Source organism: Homo sapiens, chromosome 15, assembly GCF_000001405.40.
Source record: "Homo sapiens chromosome 15, GRCh38.p14 Primary Assembly".
Classification (NCBI taxonomy): domain Eukaryota; kingdom Metazoa; phylum Chordata; class Mammalia; order Primates; family Hominidae; genus Homo; species Homo sapiens.
Genome location: NC_000015.10, coordinates 73,151,757 through 73,170,458, shown reverse-complemented (window position 1 = coordinate 73,170,458; position 18,702 = coordinate 73,151,757). Strand labels below are relative to the sequence as shown.

The 18,702-nt window shown below is 38.8% G+C and overlaps 1 protein-coding gene and 1 pseudogene across 29 annotated transcripts in view, besides 1 other annotated feature; one reads left to right on the top strand and one right to left on the bottom strand.

Moving 5' to 3' along the window:
- Positions 1–18,702, bottom strand: part of NEO1 (neogenin 1) — a 253,515-nt gene that overhangs the window by 134,748 nt on the left and 100,065 nt on the right. The window lies entirely within an intron of this gene.
- Positions 3,908–5,107: an enhancer, noted in NCBI's record as "MED14-independent group 3 enhancer chr15:73457693-73458892 (GRCh37/hg19 assembly coordinates)". NCBI's record gives its function as "activates an origin of replication core promoter dependent on BRD2, BRD4, P300/CBP and CDK7 cofactors, and independent of MED14, by STARR-seq in HCT116 cells {active_cell/tissue: HCT116}" and the evidence as "EXISTENCE:reporter gene assay evidence [ECO:0000049][PMID:35650434]".
- On the top strand, positions 7,513–8,981 carry NPM1P43 (nucleophosmin 1 pseudogene 43; annotated as a pseudogene).

Here is an 18,702-nt window from a genome sequence, read left to right as displayed (position 1 = left end):
CTTTTTGTGGACAAAGTCAGCAATTTTGTATTTTTTAAATATAAACTTCATCATGATTTCCTACTGATATTTTCAATTAAGTCTAAGACTGTAGCTTTTAGCTGAATCTTCTTAATTTTACATCTGTATCTCAAGCCAAAAATCTGTTCTCAATGACACTAACATAATTACTCATTTACTTTATCCTACACCCATAGTCTCAGAATAAACATCTGTACCAACAATATGATAAAAGAAAACAACCAAAGATTTTTTGCAGTTGTGTCCTTAGAGTAAATCCCACTAGGTACATTATAGTCCAATTACAATTTTAAATTTACATGGAATTATAATTCCATATACTTAGAATTGTAACTTACTGTGTGGCTGTATTACCAACTGGATACACCTTTGGAGTCGCCTGTTTCATTTTACTTTCCAGTTTCAGGAACTACTTTGTAAATTTTTAAATCTATAAAGACAAGGTACATTCAAACAAACCTACCTACCTTCTAACCCTGTTTCTCTCATCCTATTTCCTCCTTTACCCTACTGGTAAATTTATGATTTATTATTCCATTATGAAAATTATAAGCACATACCCACACCCACAATTTGTCCCCAATCCTCTTATTTAGATTATAAATGATAGCATACTAATTTTTTTCTACCTTCAAAGCCTATACTCTTAACTACTAAGGTACCATGTTCCAAGACATTAACATATTCCTTGAGTCTAAAGAACTGCAAGAACTGAGGCTCCCCCTAAGGCAGAGTAAATAATTACTCTGGAAAACACAGCAAAAGCCTCTTCCAAAAAAAAAAAAAAAAAAAAAGGAGGGGGGAGCAGATAATTTCGGTATGCATTTTTAGTAAACAGACTTTCACAGACTATTAGAAAAAATCATCATAAGCAATGTTCAATTAATCATTAGTTTCCCTTTCATGAATTATAAAATAATGCCCTTAAAATGTTTTCTGGATTTTAACTACTCTGTAGATAGTATTCACACCAATTAAACACAATTGTAAGAGCAGATGTTTGTGGTTGGGAAGTTAAATTGATAACCAGAGAACAAATGAGTCAATTACCATAAGAAAATAAGTGTTGTAATGGAAGATTATGCATTTTGTTACCAAAGAGATAATTAAGCTTCAAATCCTCTTTGACAGCTCCCTATCCCTTCAAATGCCATCATCATTTCAGGAATAATTTTAATTGCTAAATGTACAAGTGGAATTTAATACTAAAATATATTATACTTGCAAAATTCTTTTACTAGAAACATCACTTAATTCCATCACTGTTACATAATGCTGAAAATTGCCATTTAATTCAAATAAATAACAATATAGGGCCAACACCAATGATTCAAGGTTACTTTATTATGCTGTGATTTGGAAGATAACCGTTTTCATTTACATTAGCTCTGAATTGTTGGAGTTTCTATTGTTTCATTTGAAAGGCTTATGGACTGAAATTCTTATTAAGCTCTGTAAGCAGAGAAAGAAATCAATTTTGTCCATTTCATGTTAAAACTGCTTCTTTTCTGTAATTCACAAATTTACATCTATGCCGTTTAAAAAAAAAAACCCAACAAATAAAAACAAATAAAAACCAAGCATTTAACAGTGTGAAATCCCTTCAGGGATTTTGTTTGACAGTCTAATCACAAGTGTACTATTGGTACTGACTCAACTAACAAAGCAAGAATATATTTGAATCCTCTGACATTTCTTGAGAAAGCTTCCCATTCCAATGAAGGTGAATAGGCTTCTCCAAGAGAAACAGGTGACATCATAACTTAACTTATGATGTAAGTTTGAAGTAATATTATAACAATGTTTCCACTTGACTATGAAATTATATTTCTCTCCTTTCATCCCAATCCTGCCCCTAGTCTCATTGTCTTTTCCTTACCCTAGCCCTCAATTTAGCTAACAGGTACTCATCCATCTGATACTAATTAAAAGTATTTCTCGGCCAGCGCGGTGGCTCACACCTGTAATCCTAGCACTTTGGGAGGCCAAGTCAGGTGGATCACTGGAGGTCAGGAGTTCGAGACCAACCTAGCCAACATGGTGAGACCCCCCCCCCCCACCCCCCGTCTCTACTAAAAATACAAAAATTAGCTGGACCCTGTGGTGCATGCCTGTAATTCCAGCTACTTGGGAGGCTGAGGCAGGAGAATCAACTGGGAGGCAGAGGTTGCAGTGAGCCGAGACTGTGCCACTGCACTTCAGCCTGGGCACCAGAGGGAGACTCCATCTCAAAAATACAAAACAAAACAAAAAACTTCCTTAAAGAAGCATTTCCTGACACACAGTCCCTCACTCTTTCCTGTTTCTAGCCCTTGACTGCCCTATTTACTATTGAAATCCCAGTGGCCTAAACCAAAATAGGTGCTCAATGCATATTAGTAGAATTTTTTTCAAGGATTCTCAAGTTTCTTAAGAATTCAATGTTTTATATCATTGTTTCTCCTAAGTCCACTCTTGAGTGTCTGACTTTCTGCATGAATTTTAAATTTTGCTTTTAAATGTTTATGATGATGTAAAATTTTCATGAACATGAAATTTCAGCACCAACATTTGTGCTCATGTTTACATGTTAGCTCTGTGATCACATGATTTAATTGTAATGCAATGTTCCTCAAACTTTGGGTCTTACGGTCTAAAGCTCTTAACTTTGAAAAATTGTATTCTATATATCAATTTTTATTTTGAAAAATTCACAAAAACCTTTATTAAATATAGGCTCCACTTCTTTAACAAAGTTAAACATACTTAATCTTTGCTTGATGTCTCAATATTGTATGTATACACAACATCTAACATCCATTCATTCATCATCGTACACTTGGGTTGTTTCCATGTTTCAGTTATTGTGAATAATGCAGCTGTGAATGTGGGTGTAGAAATATATTTTTGAGACCTACTTTCAATTCTTTTGAACATGGACCTCAGATGGAGCAGGAACCCCTTGAGGGGCCTATGGGCCTCCCCCGCCCCCAGCATGGAAATAAAGGAAAATCTTGAGTTCCTTCAAGAGAAGTTCCAGGCACCTAGCTGGCCCTGAGAAGCAAATGAACAACTTGATAAGCAAGAGGGTAATAGCAGCTTAAAACAATAGCCAAGGAAGTTAGAGTCGTGGGATGTTTGGTTCCCTATAGAAACTAAAGGCAACATCTTTTTTTTTTTTTTAATTATACCTTAAATTCTAGGGTACATGTGCACAACGTGCAGGTTTGTTACATATGTATACAAGTGCCATGTTGGTGTGCTGCACCCATTAACTCGTCATTTACATTAGGTATATCTCCTAATGCTATCCCTCCCCCCTCCCCCCACCCCATGACAGGCCCTGGTGTGTGATGTTCCCCTTCCTGTGTCCAAGTGTTCTCATTGTTCAATTCCCACCTATGAGTGAGAACATGCAGTGTTTGGTTTTTTGTCCTTGCGATAGTTTGCTGAGAATGATGGTTTCCAGCTTCATCCATGTCCCTACAAAGGACATGAACTCATCCTTTTTTATGGCTGCATAGTATTCCATGGTGTATATGTGCCACATTTTCTTAATCCAGTCTATCATTGATGGACACATGTCCCTGGGTTGTTTTTCAGAAACCTGGACCCCACCAAATGGATCTGTTGGCATGTACACATCAGGTAAGGGGGAACTGAGGACTGAATATCTTTGTCCTAAAGTTCTTCCTGAGGGACTTGGGAGAAGTCACACCCATGAGCCAGAACTAATATTCTTTTCTGCTGATCCCCAGATTTTAAAACAAAACTTCTCTTCCTTAATGAACTGCAAATCAGAAAATCTACCTACAACCTGTAAACCCCACTTCAAGATCTCCCGCCCTTTTAGGCCAAACCAATGTATAACCTCCATGTATTGCCTTATGATTTTGCCTATAACTTCTACCTTCCTGAAATTTCCCCCTGCCTTTATAAACCCTTGCTTGCAAGCCATTGGAGAGTTCAGGTCTTAAGCATGAGCTATCCGATTCTCCTTGTTTGGTGCCCTGCAATAAACATCTCCATTTCTCTTTGCAGCAATCCAAATGTCAGTGTTTAGCTTTGCTGCACTGGGTGGGCAGACCGAAGTTCAGTTTGGTAACATGCCCAGAAGAGGAACTGTTAGTTCAAATGGTAATTCTAGTTTTTCATTTTTTAAGGCGCCACCATACTTTTTACCAGCAACTATACTTTTCGCTGTACCAAAAGTGCAAAAGGGTTCCAATTTCTCCATATCCTTACCAACACTTGCTATTTTCTGTTTTTAGAGAGAAGCCACTATAGCAGGTATGGGGGTGGTATCACAGTACTGAGAGAGGAGAAAGGAAGAAACCGGTAAGGTAGGCAGTTAGGGTGGGTCCTCAGTGGAATTATTTCAAACAGAACAACCTGAAAAATCAAGCTGCAGGCACAGATAAGGGAACTTGCACAGGGAGGTTTGCCTAAGACATGTCCACAGCCACACAGATAAGAAAGGCTACACAGGTGACTTGCCCAGACATGCCCACAATGGAAAATCCCGTCTCCTGACACATGTGCAGTAAGGGGAACAAAGCGATATGGAATAACTCAAGCTAACCGCCTGCATGCACATTAGGAGGACTGGGTAGAGCTATCAGAAATTCTCACCTTACGTAAATGAGATGTTCAGCCCTCACTGGTTTCTTTTAAAAAGCCTTTGCATTCAACTGTAAAAACGGCAATCCTCTTCTGGGTCCTCTCTCTGCTGTGGAGAGCTGTCTTCTTTCACTTATTAAACTTTTGTTCCAACCTCACCCTTTGTGTCCACGCCCCTTAATTCTCTTCATCACTGAGACAAAGAACTCTGAACTCCAGGTGATATCTCACAAGAGATTGCTACACTGTGGTGCATTGGCAGGACTGTAACAGTACCACATATGTTTTTGTACCATTTGATTTTTTACCATGCTTGTTGACTATTTAAGAAAATTGACTACTGGATGGTTTGAATTCACCTGCTCTCTGATTCTCCCTACTGTTCTACAGTTGGATTTTTCTGTTAACTGACAGTATTGTTTGCTTTATTTTCTCCATCTCTCTACTTTCCTTTTTATCATTTTCAAAGTTAAGAAGGTGAAAAGTACTCAGTATAAAAGGTGTACAGAACACAGAAAACATAAAAGCCTCCTCTTTATCAAGCTTCAAACTACCTGTCAACACCAGTACCCTCCTTAGAGAGAAATACTATTCATATTTTTGGTGTGTGAACTCTCCAAACATTTTTCTATGTATTTAAAACACATCACATATACACACACACTTAACTTGTTTTTAAAATACAGACTGGAGTCTAGGCAACATAGTGAGACCCCTATCTCTACAAAAAAAAAAAAAAAAAAAATTGGCCAGGCATGTGGAACATGCCTACAGTTTCAGTCACTCAGGAGGCAAAGGCAGGAGACTGCTTGAGCCCAGGAGTTCGAAGCTGCTGTGAGTTATGATTACACCACTGCACTCCAATTTGGGCAACTTAGCAAGACCCCCATCTCTAAAAAATAAAATAAAATACAGACTGAGTCAACCAATAACTAATTTTCTGCAACTTGTATTTCTCTCTTAATAATACTGCATATTAGTATACATGTAGCCACATATATAGCATAGTAGGTCAATGGTATGACCATATCCCAATGTAATTATTCTCCTATTAATGCACACTTAAGGTTACTTTTCATTTTTCTACTACAGGTAAATGCTATAATATGCATCCTTGTACATATCTTTGTATGCATGTGCAAGGGTTTTAGAAGAATAGATTCTTAAAGGGAATAACTAAGTCAAGGTGTTTTTGTATTTTACATTTTGGTAAATATTACCAAAGGCTGTACCAATTTCATATTCCTGTCAGAGAGTAGCTATTGATGAAGCTATTCAACATTCTACTGCACGTCCTAGCTAATTTAAGGAAATAAGAAAAAGAGGCTGGGCGTGGTGGCTTATGCCTGTAATTCCAGCACTTTGGGAGGCTGAGGCGGGTAGATTACTTGAGGTTAGGAGTTCAAGACAACCCTGTCCAACATGGTGAAACCCTGTCTCTACCAAAAACACAAAAAATTACCTGAGTGTGGTGGCATGTGCCTGTAATCCCAGCTACTTGGAAGGCTGAGACAGGAGAATGGACTGAACCCAGGAAGTGGAAGTTGCAATGAGCTGAGATCAATCGTGCCATTGCACTCCAACCTGGGTGACACAACAAGACTTCGTCTCAAAAAAAAAAAAAAAAACCAATAATAATAATAATCAGCGGGGCGTGGTGGTGGGTGCCTGTAATCCCAGCTACTTGGGAGGCTGAGGCAGGAGAATCGCTTGAACATGGGAGGCAGAGGTTGCAGTGAGCTGAGATTGCACCACTGCACTCCAGCCTGGGCGACAGAGTGAGACTCTGTCTCAAAAAAAATAAGAAAAAAAAAAAAAATAAGAAAAAGAAACAAAATACAAATACGGGAAAAGGGTTGGAGAAATCCACCACCGGCCCCTACCACACACATACACACACATCATGACAATGACTGTCTACTCAGAATATTCAAGAAAATCTCTCTCACCTGGAGAAATTCCAATGTGCATTACTGTACTATCTGTAGTGGGGAGGGACCCCAATGATTTCATGAACAGGAATAATAATTACACAAACTACAATAGGTCTAAAGCATATGTTACAGCCTTCCCAATCAAAGTGTAGTATAGGACCAATAGCACTGGCAACATCTGGGAGCTTATTAGAAATACAGAATCTCTGTTTCCCCACCCCAAACCCTCTGAATCGGTTTCAGCATTTTAAAAGATCTCCAGGTGGTTTGCAGGTACATTAAAGTTTGATAAACATCGCTTTGGGGCATTTAAATACTGATTATAGTCCTGTAGGTACAAACAGAGAGAAATTTAAATACAGTAATGACAAAAAGCAATTTGCAGAGCAAACTAGATGATATAATATCTGCTAATGAAAAAAATTTATTTGTAGATGTACATGTATGTAAATGCTTTTTGAAGACACCTGGAAGCATACACACTAAACTAATAACAGTCATCCTCTGAGGAAAGGGGTGGGAATGGGGAAGGGGCAATAAAGGAGGAGGTTTACTTTGTTGATACGGTTTGATTCTTTAATAATGTTACTGCATTACTTAAATAATTTTTAAAAGAAAAATAAAAGCCAAAAGAATAAGCTGAAAAACTATTAGAATGAAATATAAATCTCTGGTAAACTAGCAGAATAAATGATTAACATGTTTTTTGTTGTCATTCACATTCTTACGTATCAAAAAAAAATCAGAAAATGTAAATCTAAAAACCAAATTCATAACTACAAAAACAATAAAATAGATACGTACCTAACAAGTAAAGTATAAAACCTTTAGGAAGAAAAATATGTAATTTTATTAAGGAAACAAAATATTAAAGAATCGCCTGGTTTGATTCCATCCTGTGTGGCTGTTCTCTTAAGCAATAGTTGTTCATTTCTATCTGCTTTCTCTCCCACCTAAGTGTGTGCCACCACCCCATGGAAGATTCAATGGACATGAACATGAGCCCCTGAGGCCTGAGGACCATGTTTTTCATTGTGAACCAAAGGCTGACAAACATTACCATCTTAAGGTGGATAATGATGAAAATGAGCATCAGTTATCTTTAAGAATGGTCAGCTTAGAGGCTGGTGCAAATGATGAACTGCAGATTGTTGACACAGAGACAATGAATTACGAAGGCAGTCCAATTAAAATAATACTGGCAACTGGCCAGGCATGATGACTCACATCTGTAATCCCAGCACTCTGAGAGGCCGAGGTGGGTGGATCACTTGAGGTCAGGGGTTCGAGACCAGCCTGGCCAACATATTAAACCCAGTCTACTAAAAATACAAAAACTCAAAAATTAGCTGGGCATGGTGACGCACACCTATAACCCCAGCTACTCAGCAGGTTGAGGCATGAGAATTGCTTGAACCCAGGAGGTGGAGGTTGCAGTGAGCCAAGATCACACCACTGCACTCCAGCCTGGGCAACAGAGTGAGACTCTGTCTCAACAACAACAACAACAACAACAACAAAACAAAATAAATAAAGTAATAGTGGCAACTTTGAACATGATGATTTGAACAGCCAATGATTTCCCTTGGGGTCTTTGAAATAACACCACCCATGGCCTTTGGGTTGAAGTATGGTTCAGGGCCTGTGCATATCAGGTAACAGCACTTAGGAGCTGGGGAGGAAGGTGAAGAGGCTTAGAAGATCAAGAAGAGGAGGACATGAAACTCTTAGGTACATTTGGAAAGTGATCTGCCCCTGGAGGTGGTAGCAAGGTTACCCGGGTTGTGGAGAGGAAGAGGAGACAAGAATAAGCTCCACTGAAGAAATCTGTATGAGACACTCCAGCCAAAAATGCACAAAAATCAAACCAAAATGGAAAAGATTCAAAACCATCAACACCAAGATCAAGAATCCTTCAAAAAACAGGAGAAAAAAAAACAAACAAACTTCCTAAAACACCAAGAGAACCTAGTTCTGTAGAAGACATTAAAGCAAAACAGCAAGGAAGTACAGAAAAAGCTGGTTTTCTTCCCAAAGTGGAAGCCAAGTTCGTCAATTATATAAAGAATTGCTTCTGGAAGACTGACCAGGAGGTAATTCAAGATCTCTGGCAGTGGAGAAAGTCTCTTTAAGAAAATAGTTTAAGCAGTTTTAAAAATGTTTCCATCTTATTTCACTTATGTAACATTTGATATACAGTTGTCCTTTTTATAATGTAGAGTGAGAACTTTCCCTAATATGTTTGATAAATGTTGTCCAAGTTCCACTGCCAAGAATGTGTTGTCCAAAATGCCTGCTTAGTTTTTAAAGATGGAAATCCACCCTTTGCTTGGATTTAAGCATATATGGAATGTTATGATAGGACACAGTAGTAGCAGTGGTCAGACATGGAAATGGTGGGGAGACAAGAATGTACACATGAAATAACCTCGGCATTTTAATAAGTAGCACTGTTTCTATTCAAATAAAAAAATGGAGGCACAACTATAGATGCAAATATGTATGAAAATTCTCATACGATTGAAGTGACACATTACATCAGGGAAAAGATACATAACTCAATAAAAAATCCTAGAAACTGTAATCACTTGGAAAGAATAATGTTGGATTTGTATCTCATTTCTTACACCAAAGTAAATTCCATACGTATCAAAAATTTAATGATTAAAACCAAACACTGCCATAAAAGCACTAGAAGACATGAGATTTTTAAAAAATATAATCTTGGAGGGAGGACTAAGTATGACACAAACTCGGAAGTCACAAAAGAAAATTTAAACATATTGGCTTGTGATACTGTGAAATCTGCCTTTGGACTTCATCCTGGTTTCCTGACACAGAGCCCCTAAATCTCTTGGAATTTCCTGGGTGATAGGAGCAACTTTTGTCCTATAATAAGACAAGTCTTGATGGGGTACTTGATAGCCTCCAGATGAGGGCTACCTAACAGTGGAATCAAACATGAGAGGGTTGGAATTTTCAGCTCCATTCCCCAAACTCCAGAAGGGGAGATGAGCTCAAGGTTCAATTGATCACCAGTGGCCAATGATGTAATCAATCATGCCTACACAATGAAACCTCCATAGAAACTTATAAGGACAGGGTTTGGGAGAGCGTCTAGGTAGCTGAACTCATGCAGGTTCCTGAAGGGTGGTTCCCAGAGAGGACATGGAAAGTCCATGCCCCTTCCCACGTACCTTGCCCTATGCTGTTTAACACTTTGTAATATCCTTTATAATAAACGGTTAAATTTAAGTAAGCATTTCCCTGAGCCCTGTGAGCCACTCTAGCAAATTAATAAAACCCAACAAGGGGATCATGGGAACCTCAATCTGTAGCTAGTCAGTCAGAAGTTCTGGAGACCCAGACTTGGGACTACCACCTGAAGAGAGATGGTAGTCTGGTGGTCCTGAGCTCTCAACCTGTGAGATATGACACTCTCTCCAGTGCCATATCTCTACATGGAAATGGTGAGGAGGCAAGAATATACATATGAAATAAACTCGGTATTTAGTAAGTAGTACTGTTTCTATTAGAAAAATAGAAAGGTAGGTAGTGTCAGAACTGAACTGAATTATAGGACATACAGCAGGTGTCCACTGAAGTACTGCTTGGTGTGTGGGGAAATAACCCCCACATTCTGGGATCACAGAGGTTTTCTGCGTTGAGCAGAAAGTAGAGAATAGGAAAAACAACAGTTTGGTGTTTTGGGGTTTTTGTATATTCAAGAGGACTACATAGAAAAATTAAAAGTATACATAATTAAAAACTATCATGAAGTAAAAAGACAATGAACAGGGGGAAAACAGATAACAGAACTAATTTCCCTAATATATACAAGTTCCAACAAATTAATAAGAAAAAAATTACAAATAAAAACTGAGTAAAAGATATAGACAGTGCACAAAATGAAAATACACAGAATTTCCTAATATATGAGAAAAGATGTTGAACCTCACTCATGTAAGTAATATGCAAATAACAAGAGTATGAGAAACGGGCAGTCTTATATATATTGGTGATGATATAAATTGATACAATCTTTTATAGGGTGATTTAGTAATATCTATAAAAATCTAAATTGTATAAACTCTTTGATACAGCAATTTCACCTCAAGAGATTCATCTATCAGAAACACTCACACATTTGCATAAAGACATAAGGATATTCCCTGAACACTGAAGCAGCAAAAGATTAGGAACCACCAAATAGTAAGCTATTTTAACCACAGTCCATCAAGACTGCTGCTGCTTCCATGTTGACTTGCCCTTATGCCAGGTCATGATGGAGTGGCTGAAGTCATTTTTGTACTTAAGAGAAGTCAAGAGGAAATTGAGCTACATATACCATTAGTGGGTTTAGTGGGATATATTTATGTGGTTTTCGCCAAAACTTTTGTGTATACCTAAACTGTCTCAGTATAGGAAGACTTCCAGGAATACTCCTTCTGCCCACTGTACTAACAGGACCCAACACCGAGACACAAAGGTGTGGAGTCATATTCAAATGACTATATCTTAAACACTGGAGGAAAAGACCAAATTAGCTTTCTATTTTCATAGAAAATGACTTACAAAATCACTGACATATGAGGAGACAATGAAACAAAATGCAGCAAAAACAAATATTACAACACATACGTGTATAAGGTAATATTTTTAAAGTGCTGTTTTTTCTGGGTTTTGGTAACGTTTGTAGTGTTTATCAGCTTTGAAAAACTAGTTTATTGTGCTTTCTTTTCTCGTTCTAAATAACTACTCATTTTGTACATAGTTTGGTATTCACTGTCTTTTTAAAAAAATTTTTGAGACAGAATCTTGCTATAGTTGCCCAGGCAGAACTCAAACTCCGGGGCTCAAGCAACCCTTCTGCCTCAGCTTCCTGAATAGCTAGGATTACAGGTGTGTATTACCACACCTCGCTACTCACTGTCTTAAACAAGGCCTCCAAAGTAGTTTTCACTGCAGACCTCAAAAAAGCTGGATCTGCTCCTGATGATGACAATCTCTAAGATTGCTTGTTACACCTATTATGCTATTTTTACACACTTCTTTGCTTGAACAGGCATAGAATATCTCTAGAAGGATAAGAAAAAAATAATGGTTGCTTCTGTGGAGGAGGGCTGGGACATAGCAGTAATATTTCACTATATATCCTTTCTAGAACATCTTCATATGTTATCTATTAAAAATATTTAATTAAAAATAAAAGTGAGGACAGGTGTGATGGCTCATGACTGTAATCCCAGAATTTTGGAAGGCCAAGGCAGAAGGAATGCTTGAGGCCAGGATTTCAAGACCAGCCTGGGTAACAAAGTGAGATCGCCATCTCTACAAAAAAATACAAAAATTAGCTGGGTGTCGTAGTGGTCCCAGTTACACAGGAGGCTGAAGCAGGAGGATTGCTTGAGCCCAGGAAGTCAAGGCTGCAGTGAGCGATGACCACACACTGCACTCCAGTCTGGGCAACAGAGTGAGATCCTGTCTCAAAAAAATGGTAATAATAATATACACACACACCTGGCTACAAAGACTTAATTCTGTAAATATATCAATCACAATTCTTTTGAAATGAATCTGTAAAGTCAATGAAATGCCATTTAATATCCCAGGAGAAATTTTATCAAATTTAACAAGCTGAATCTGCAGGCCATCTAGAAGAAAAAATTGTAAAAAAAAAAAAAAAAAAAAAAAAAGAGTCTCACTCTTTCTCCCAGGCTGGAGTGCAGCAGGACGATCTCGGCTCACTGCAACCTCTGCCTCCCGAGTTCAAGCAATTCTCCTGTCTCAGCCTCAGGAGTAGCTGGAACTACAGGCATGCACTACCAAGCCAGCTAATTTCTGTATTTTTAGTAGAGATGGGGTTTCACTATATTGGCCAGGCTGGTCTCAAACTCCTGACCTCAAGCGATCCTCTTGTCTCAGCCTCCCAGAATGCTGGGATTACAGATGTGAGCCACCACATTTGGTCAAAAACAATTTTTTTTTTAAAAGAACAATGAGAAGGGATCCTTCCAACAAAATATCAACAAGGGAAACAGTATTAGTATTGATGTAGGAATTGTTAAAGTTTTCAATAAAACAGAGTTAGGATAAGATCTACAGAACTTCAGAAATTTCAAGTTTCTCTCCAAGATGGCTGAGTAGAAGCATTTCCAGCATATCTCATCCACTTAGAAGAACAAAAATTGTGTGTAGACAATCACACTTTAAATATATTATCCAAGAGGGAGCATGGGAGTTCAAGAGAAAAGCAAAAGGAAACTTCAACATCTGAGAAGAAGGAAAACAGGTAACCCGTGTGGCCAGGACTGGCTGAAAATCAGGAATGTATCCCCAGTAGGGGAGAGGGTGAGTGAGTGTATTTCTGCAGTCCATGTTTCCACAGGGGAATTGTACAATCCAGGCTGTAGGAGAGCACCTTGACCCTCCTGAATCCTGGATCTCACCTGGGGAGTGACTGGACAAGGAACTGCTCCAGGGACGTCCCATACATTCCATCAGATATAGGCAGCTACAGTAAGAGGCCATTCTCAATCCCAGCTCTTAACAAGCTGTGGATGGTCCTGGGAACAAGTGGCAGTGCCAGGCTTTGGTGTCAGAAATTCGGGCTGGGGCTTGAAGAACTGGGACTCAAGCAAGAGTCTGGACTCCTGCAACCAGAACTGAGAAACTGGTATGGGCAGCTGATACTGAAACTGGGGTATCCCCCTACCTGCTTGGGACCTGAGCAGGAGGAGAGCTGCCATGGAGGCTTGGGATTAAGCTGGGTTGTATCTCCTAAGGCCCTGGACTGAGTTGCAGAACACTGCCATGACTGAACAGGCTGATCTGCTGCCACAGTTAGGAGTGGGAGGGAACTCTGCCAGGACTGGGGCATGAGAAGGAAGTAAGTCCTACTTACACAAGCCACATCTGTGGCTGCTGGGACTGCCCCTCCATACCCATGTTAAGACTTCGGCATAGCAACAGTCATCCCTCACCCAAGAATTTCACCAGGGGCCTGAGAACTGCCCTGCCACCCCCGTCAAGGAAGGTAGATGCACCCACCATTGGGAGGCCTGAGTACAAGCTTGCCTGCTCCAGCTCCACTCAGCTTGGCCCCTACTCCGCAGAGGGAAGTGGAGGTTAGGGGGATCCAGGTTCCTGAGAATTCTGCAACTCAATCCACCATCTGGGACACCTGTGCAAGCACTTGTCCTCAGAAACAGAGGTTAGGCATAAAACCTACTGTTGACAATATAGCTGGCTATTACCTGCAAGTGCCACCTACTGGCCTGGAGGCTGACATGCACAGCCCATTGCAACAACTGATAAAACAAGGGCACAACACTTGTGAATGAGAAGAGCTTCTCACTACTACTGCTATTCCCATTGCCCATACCACCCTGGCTTCCCAGTAGGTCAAGAGTCTGCTCACCTGCATGGTCTACCTCTACTACAACAGGCATTTGAGAGAGCCACCCAGTGGCCAAAGAATCAGCCTACCTGGAACTACCAACATGGGTGCCAGCATATACCACATACCAGGTCACAATGATAGACATACTTAGCCCACCACCACTACCACTGAAGGACCCATGAGGCATTCCAGTCTCCAGCAAAACCTCATCACAGACTCCACCAATAACTGCACACTAACACACAGAAAAATCCACAGATTTAACACTAAGGCTATCTGTAGCCAAGGAAATCACACAGAATCCTTAAAGCCACTGCGCATACCCAGAAGGAAAGCCAAAACGCCCTATCCAATCAACATTATAGACATATCTTCAATAAAAAGTCTCCCCACTCAATGAAAGCAAATTCAAAAATAAGAAGTAGTGACTGTTACTCCAGATGCACAGAAACCAATGTAAAGATATAGGAAGTATGAAAAAGCAACATATTATGACACATTCAAAGGAACACAATAATTCTCCCGCAATAGGTCCTAACCAAAAATAAATCCTTGAACTTCTAGATAAAGAATTAAAAATACTGATTTTAAAGAAGCTCAATGAGATTGCAAGAGAAATCTGAAAACCAGTACCAAGAAGTCAGAACATCTATTTAGGATACCAATGAGAAATTTATCGAGATAGATATCTTCAAACAAATTCTAGAACTGAACAATTCATTGAAGGAATTACAAAATACATTTGAAAGCTTCAACAATAGACAAGCCTGAACAGAAGAAAGAATCTCAGAACTTTAAGGCAGGTCTTTTGAAATAATCCAGTCAGACAAAAACTTAAAAAGAATAAAAAAGAACAAAGACTTCAAGATGTTTGTGACTACATAAAGTGACTGGACTTGTGAATTACGGGTATTCCTGAGGGGAAAGAAAAATCAGAAAGTTTAGAAAACCTATTTAAGGAAACAACTGATGAAAACTTCCCAAGTCTAGCAAGAGAGTTAGACATTCACATAGAGGAGGCCTAGAGATCCTGAGGAAAATATATTCCAAAAAGGACTTGGAATATGCACCACAGCATATTATAATCAGACTGTCTAAAGTCAAAGTAAAAGAAAGAATTTTAAAATTAGCAAGAAAAAAAGCATCTAGTTACCTATAAAGAAAACCCCATCAGACTAACAGTTGACTTCTCAGCAGAATCCTTATAAGCCAGAAGAGAATGAGCTGGCATTTTCAAAGTGCAGTAAGGAAAACCACCACCACCACCATCAGTATCACCACCACCACCACCAAACATCAGCCAAGAATTTTATATCCAGCAAGATTAAGATTCATAAATGGAGAAATTCTTTCCCAGAAAAAGTCTTTCCCTGAGAAAATTTATCACCACCAAACCAGCCCTATAAGAAATGCTCAAAGGAGACCTAAATGTGGTAATGAAAGGTTGACATTCACCACCATGACAACACAAGTTAAAAAAAAAAACACAAAGACTTTATAAAACAAACTCACAAAAAAAGAAAAAGAAAGGAATCAAATGGCAACACAACAGAATTCCATCAAGCCAAAAGACAGAAGAAGAAACAACAAATTTATAAAACAACTAGAAAACAATTCACAATGTAACAGGATCAAAACCTCACATATCAATGTTAATGCTGAACGTAAATGGATTAAGAGCTCCACTTAAAAGATATAGATTGGTGGAATGAATTTTAAAAACTTCATTCAACTATATGCTGCTTGCAATAAACTCACCTGTAAAGACACATAGACTGAAAGTAAAAGGGTGGAAAAAGATATTTCACACCAAGAGAAACTGAAAGTGAGCAGGACTAGCTACGCTCATATCAGATAATGGAACTGGAGGTCGTTATGTTAAGTGAAATAAGCCAGGCACAGAAGACATGCTTCAGATGTTCTCACTTATTTGTGGGAGCTAAAAATGAAAACAACTGAACTCATGGAGATAGAGAGTAGAATGATGGTTACCAGAGGCTGGGAAAGGTAGTGGGTGGGGGGTAATGGTTAATGAGCACAAAAATATAATTAGAATTAATAAGATCTAGAATTTGATGGCAAAACAAGGTGACTACAGTCAACAATAATTTATTGTACATTTTTAAATAATTAAGAGAGAATAACTGGACTGTTTGTAACACAAAGGATAAATGCTTGGGTGATGGATACTCCATTTACCCTGATGTGATTATTAAGCATTGTATGCCAGCGTCAAAATATCTCATGTACCCGATAAATATATACACCAACTATTACAAATTTTTTTTTTTTTAAAGAATACTAGACTAGGAATCAGAAGTCCTGAGCTTTTAATCTGGGCTTTGCCTCCAAATGTGTTTTGTAATCTTAGGGAAATCAATTTTCCTTAAAAGGACATAAGACCTAATATATGTGAAAATACTTTCTTGTTAATATGAAAGATATTTTAAAAATTTGTCAGGTATATCCATATAATGTAAATGTGACACAGTATAAATTATACCTTGGAAATAAAATAAAAATTGCTTGATATTATTTCTACTATAATTAAATTTCTTGGCAAGTCAAAATGCCTCATAATTCTACTACCCTAACTCTTGCAGTATTTTAAAATGGAACAACTATTTTTGATAAGGTTTAAAGAGGAAAATATAATTCGGAGGCTTTCAGAAGCTTTATCAGTCAGTGGACTAATAACAATACCTCTACATAGGGTTTTACAAGAGAGAACTAAATTTTGTTCAGTATCAGATGTAAGTCAGGTATTGTAACGTGCACTTTATCTATTAAATCCCTTTAGACCCTCAATAATATAAAGCATTATTTACATTTAAAGTATAATTATATTACGTAATCATTGGAAATCAACCATTACAATCCCAGAATAAGGGGCTGACAATAACGACTTTCGCCAATATAACTTGCTTACATTATTTTTTCACTTTAACACACTGGTGTGATATGCTCTAGATCTGTAGTTCCCTTTGACCCAGATTTCAGGTAGGGCCAATGCTTCACAAATAATTTACACCTCATAAGCATGGGAAGATTTCTCCAGGGTTTTGGGGAGAAATGGTGTTTTGCCAATGCAGTGATTAGATTTTGTAATTAGATTTTTAAACTATTTGTAATTAGATGAAGACGAGTATACTATGTGTGACAGTAAATTTTATGTGTCAACTTGACTGGGCCATGGCATGCCTAGATATCTGGTTACTCACTATTTCTGTGCCTCTCTGTGAGGGTGTTTCCAGAAGAGAAAAGCATTTGGATCTGTGGACTGAGTTACAGCAGATGGCACTCAATGTGTGTTGGCATCATCCAGTCCAATGAGAAACAAAAAGGCTGAAATTGTTTTCTGCCTGTTCCAGTTGGGACACTGATCTTCTCCTACCCTCAGCACTCCTGGTTCTCAGGCCTTCAGACTCACAGCAGAATTTAAACCACTGACTCTCCAGCTCTCAGGCCTTCAAACTATACTGCTGGCTTTCTCAGGTCTCCAGAAACAGCAGAACATGGGACTTCTCAGCCTCCATAATCACGTGAACCAATACTTTATAATAAAAGTCTCTTCTCTCTTTCTCTAAACATACACCCACAGTTTCAAAAACACCCTCTCAAGCTGCATTTTTTTTCTACTCTCACACCACCACAATCATCAACACAGAAGAACGCTTCTGTGACCAAATTATGTGGGAGTTTCCCCCCCACACACCTAGCAGTGGACACCAGCTGGGTATTCTCCAATTCAATTCCAACACTATCTACCTGCAGACAGCATTAGATTGCACATGATGAGGGCTCACTCCCCAGAATTCCTCCCACCCCCAACCGGTTACAAGCCTAGTCCTCCAGAACCTCTGACCAATGTGTTTCAAGTGGAGGTTCCCAGGACTCCCTCTCTGGGTTCAATTAATTTGCTGGAGCGGCTCACAGAACTCAGAGAAACACTTTCTTAACATTTGCTGGTTTAATATAAAGGACATTGATACAATGAGGAAATGTGTAGGGTGAGGTAGGGAGAAAGGGGCGCAGAGCTTCCATGTCCTCCCTGGGGTACCACCCTCTAGGAGCGTCCATGTTTTCAGCTATCCAGAAGCTCTCTGAACCCACTCCTCCCGAGTTTTTATGAAAGCTTCATGATGTCAGTATTCTTTCCTCCAGCATATGAGGTGGGCCCCTCTTTGGGAAGGGTCCTAAAACCCACCATCAGAAAGGCTGGGGAAGATTAGAGCCTTGGGGCAGGTGAAAGGAGGGCAGGAGAAGATCAGAGAGATTCTGTTTCCTAAGGCCTGCCCCTGAGGCCTAACATACCCAACATAAGAGAAGACTGTAACAAAGGCTATGGGAGATATGCGCCAGGAACTGGGGATGAAAACCAATATATGTATACATATTTCATAACACCACACATACATGTATTTATGTATTTATTTATTTATATGGAAAACTTATGCTTCCTATTGGCTCTGTTTCTTTGGATAACCCTGACTAATACAATAGGCAAATTCAATTATTTACTAAAGGCACAGATATTCTGAACCAGTAGTTTATGTGGCCAAAAATATTTAGAATCCATTTATAAATAACAGGTATTTCACAGCACATGAGATTGTTCTTTTGCTTCTTCAAGAGAATTTCAAATGGTTACATGGAGAAAATGTTCAAATCCCAAAATAATCAAAATAGAAGCTGATATGGTTTGGCTGTGTCCCCACCCAAATCTCATCTTGACTTACAGTTTCC